Genomic DNA, 4,275 nt, shown 5'->3' on the forward strand with positions numbered 1-4,275 from the left:
ATCTTTTCTTGAAATGTTGTCTTACTTTGGTGTCCAGGACAGAATACGTTTCTGATTTTTCTGGAAGATCTTTGATGACTTCCTTTTCTGGGTTGTAGTCTACCTCCTGCCGTTTCTAGGTGGTGGTTCAGTTCACATAGACTAGACCTCTGCCCTCTGCTTTACTTCTACATTTTATTTCATGGCAACTATAATGTCTTCAAGAAAATTTCTAGATTAGCCAGGTGTGGTGGTGGGTGCTTGTAGTCCCAGCTACTCAGGAGGCTGAGGCATGAGAATCTACTGAACCTGGGAGGCACAGGCTGGAGTGAGCCAAGATTGCGCCACTGCACTCCAGCCTGGGGGACACAGTGAGACTCCATCTCTAAAAAAAAAAAAAAGAAGGAGGGAAAAAAAGAAATTTTATAGAAGGCAGTGAGATATCTGATGATGTCATCAAGAAACTGGTGTTATGTAAGCATGGTGAGAGCTGGAGCCGTGGGAAGGAAACTAAATGACAGGCCCTACCATAGTGGAGGGATGCAGCACTGTGAGAAGGGATGCAGCTAGGCAGGAGAGAAACACCCCTTTGATCTCTTCCTGGTGCCTCCCATTGGTTGAAACCAGAGGTTAGGAGAGTCTGTGTAAAACCGTCCATGTGGTCAGCAAAGGGTATGGGAATGAATCTGGGAGCAAATGAAAACTAGCCAATACATTCGGGGTCTAAAGCAAACATCTCACCATCTCACCGTGTTTTTTTTTTTTTGAGTCAGAGTCTTTCTCTGTCATCCAGGCTGGAGTTCAGTGGTGTGATCTCGGCTCACTGCAGCCTCCTGCCTCCCAGGTTGAAGCAATTCTCCTGCCTCAGCAACCCGAGTAGCTGGGATTACAGGCACACACCACCACACCCGACTAATTTTTGTATTTTTAGTAGAGATGGGGTTTCATCATGTTGGCTAGGCTGGTCTTGAACTCCTGACTGCAAGTGATCTGCCTGCCTCGGCCTCCCAGTGTTGGGATTATAGGCGTGAGCCACCACGTCCGGCCCTCACCATCTTTTGTGCCTAAATCATCTCCCTGTTTTAACTTCTGTGCCTCCATCAATGGCACCATTACTCTCCCAGCCTCTTAAGCTGGAACCTCAGAAATCACTCCAACTCCCTTCATGGATTTTTTTTTTTCCTGTTAGTAAATTCTTATCCCTTATTTGGCATTACCCATCTCATAGGATTGGACTGTTGAATCCTCTATAAATGTGAGACTTCACAATTTCATGGTACTTAACATCACGGTTTAATTAAAATCCTCATGTGTGTACTTATCTCTTGAATGAGCATTTTCAGGGCAGGGTCTGTGCTTCATACTTCAAATCCTCATTGTGCCCCTCAGCATTCTGTCAGGGTAGGGACTCAGCAACGCTTGTAAAATAAATAAATGAATGATCTGTTCACGGTGGACATGGGCCTACAACTTGCCTGAATTCCTTGTCCAAATGACAGAATATGGCAACAGAGTCAACACATTTCACTAGTAAGTGGCAGCATCCACAATGATAACTTCCAAAGATGTTCAACACCAGCAAGCACATCACTGCGACTTCAGTAACCATAGTAACAAGACTACAATAAGATCATAACCAGCTAGTCAGACTAATCTCTTTCTAGTGGAAATGACCAGTGAATTACTTTCTGTGTGGACTGGGTTACTCTAAAGAAGATTCTTTCTTTCTTGCTTGCTTTCTCTCTCTCTCTCTCTTTCTTTCTTTTCAGGATCTCACTCTGTCACTCGGGCTGGAGTGCAGTGGTGTAATCATAGCTCACTGCAGCCTTGAGGTCTGGGCTCAAGTGATCCTCCCACCTCAGCCTCCTGAGTAGCTGGGATGACAGGCAAGCACAACCATGCCCAGCTAATTAAATTTATTTATTTTTTTTGAGAGATGGGATCTCAGTATGTTGCCCAGGCTGGTCTCAAATCCTGGCCTCAAGTGATCCCCCATCTCAGCTTCCCAAAGTGCTGGGAATACAGGTGTGAGCCACTGCACTTAATAATTTCTTTTTTTTTTTTAATTTTAGGGTAAATAGAGATGGGGTTTTGCTGTGTTGCCCAGGTTGGTCTCAAACCCCTGAGTTCACCTCAGCCTCCCAAAACACTGGGATTACAAGTGTGAACTGCTGCACCCAGCCCAGCCGCAGGGTCTCACTCACTCTGTCACCTAGGCTGGAGTGCAGTGGCACGATCTCGGCTCACGGCAACCTCTGCCTCCCGGGCTCAAGTGATTCTCCTGCCTCAGCCTCCTGAGTAGCTGGGATTACAGGCACATGCCACCATGCCCAGCTAATTTTTGTATTTTTAGTAGAGACAGGGTTTCATCATGCTGGTCAGGTTGGTCTTGAACTCCTGACCTCAAGTGATCCACCTGCCTCGGACTCCCAAAGTGTTGAGATTACAGGCGTGAGCCGCAGAACCTGGCTAAAAATTTTACATAAATATAGTTGAGAATCAAAAAAACCTACTGCTAATAGTAAATATTTGCTTTCATGTATGATTGAAATGCATTTTAATATTCTTTTTGTTTTTAAAGTTTAGTTTTATTTTCTTAAACTATTATATTCTTAGTACAAAACATGTAAAAGAAGACAAAATCTCCTATAGCTCTCCCTGCTGCTTGTTTTCTCTGTAAATGTTTCACCTTTGTTTTGTCTTTTGTAAACTGACCTCAATGTTATATTGTTCTGGCTGGGCATGGTGGCTCATGTCTGTAATCCTAGTACTTTGAGGCCGGGCGCGGTGGCTCACGCCTGTAATCCTAGCACTTTGGGAGGCCAAGGCGGGTGGATCACAAGGTCAGGAGATTGAGACCATCCTGGCTAACACAGTGAAACCCCATCTCTACTAAAAATACAAAAAATTAACCGGGCGTGGTGGCAGGTGCCTGTAGTCCCAGCTACTTGGGAGGCTGAGGCAGGAGAATGGCGTGAACCCAGGAGGCGGAGCTTGCAGTGAGCCGAGATGGTGCCACTGCACTCCAGCCTGGGCCACAGAGCGTGACTCCGTCTCAAAAAGAAAACAAAAAAAAACCCTAGTACTTTGGGAGTGCTAGGCTGAGGTGGGAGGATTGCTTGAGGCCAGGAGTTTGAGACCACCCTAGCCAACATAGCGAGACCCCATCCCTAGAAAAAAAAATTATATTATTCTAAAACAATTCATACTCATAAAAATAAAAGCAATTAAAAGTGCATAGAGTAAAAAGTTAAAGACTTCCTTCTCTCCAAGGCCTTGTTCTCCCTCCTAAGGAGTTAGCTATTGTATTGTTCCAGACAATTATTTTCTGTAATGTAGTTGCTTTTTTAAAAAAAGTGTAAGCATTTGTTTTATTACAAGTACAACACGAGTAATATTCTCTTTTTCTACTTCCTTCCCTTACCCCTAGATCCCTCAAATGAAACTGCATAGAAGTAATCATAGTCACCAGTTTCATGTGGATTATGGTTCTTAACACTTGGGCATTTGGAAATGTGGAAGAGCATTTTTGGTTGTCACAGTGAGTAGCTCTACTACTCGTTGAGGGCATAGTGCTCAGGGATGTTAACAACTGTGGTATGTCCAGTAGGCTCCCAAGCAACAGAGCAATGTTCCAGAACGTGGAATGCTGCTAGCACCCCCTGCTGAGAAACCCTGTACGATCAATCTCTTCCATGCTAACTAAACGTATGCACGTGCAGGTGAACACACACACACACACATACACATACCACACACACACACAGTCTCATACACAAAAGTTGAAAGCCTTGTACACTGAAACTCTCATGTACCCACCACTTAGATTCTACTATTAACATTTTGTCTTATTTGCTTTATCACATATCTATCCAGCCATCTATGCGAATTCCCATTCATCAATAATTCATCTTTTGAAAAATGTATTTCGGAGTAAGTTGCAGAGGTGAATATACTTCATCTCTAAACACTTTAGCATTAAATTACTCTTTTTCGGCTGGGCGCAGTGGCTCACGCCTGTACTCCCAGCACTTTGGGAGGCCAAGGTGGGTGGATCACCTGAGGTCAGGAGTTTGAGACCAGCCTGACTAACACGGAGAAACCCCACTTCTACTAAAAATACAAAATTAGCTGGGTGTGGTGGTGCATGCCTGTAATCCCAGCTACTCAGGAAGGCTGAGGCAGAAGAATCACTTGAACCCGGCGGAGGGGTTGAAGCGGAGGAGTTGAGGCGGAGGTTGGAGGTTGTGGTGAGCCGAGATCACACCATTGCCCTCCAGCCTGGGCAACAAGAGT

Source organism: Homo sapiens, chromosome 12 (genome assembly GCF_000001405.40).
Source record: "Homo sapiens chromosome 12, GRCh38.p14 Primary Assembly".
Taxonomy (NCBI): domain Eukaryota; kingdom Metazoa; phylum Chordata; class Mammalia; order Primates; family Hominidae; genus Homo; species Homo sapiens.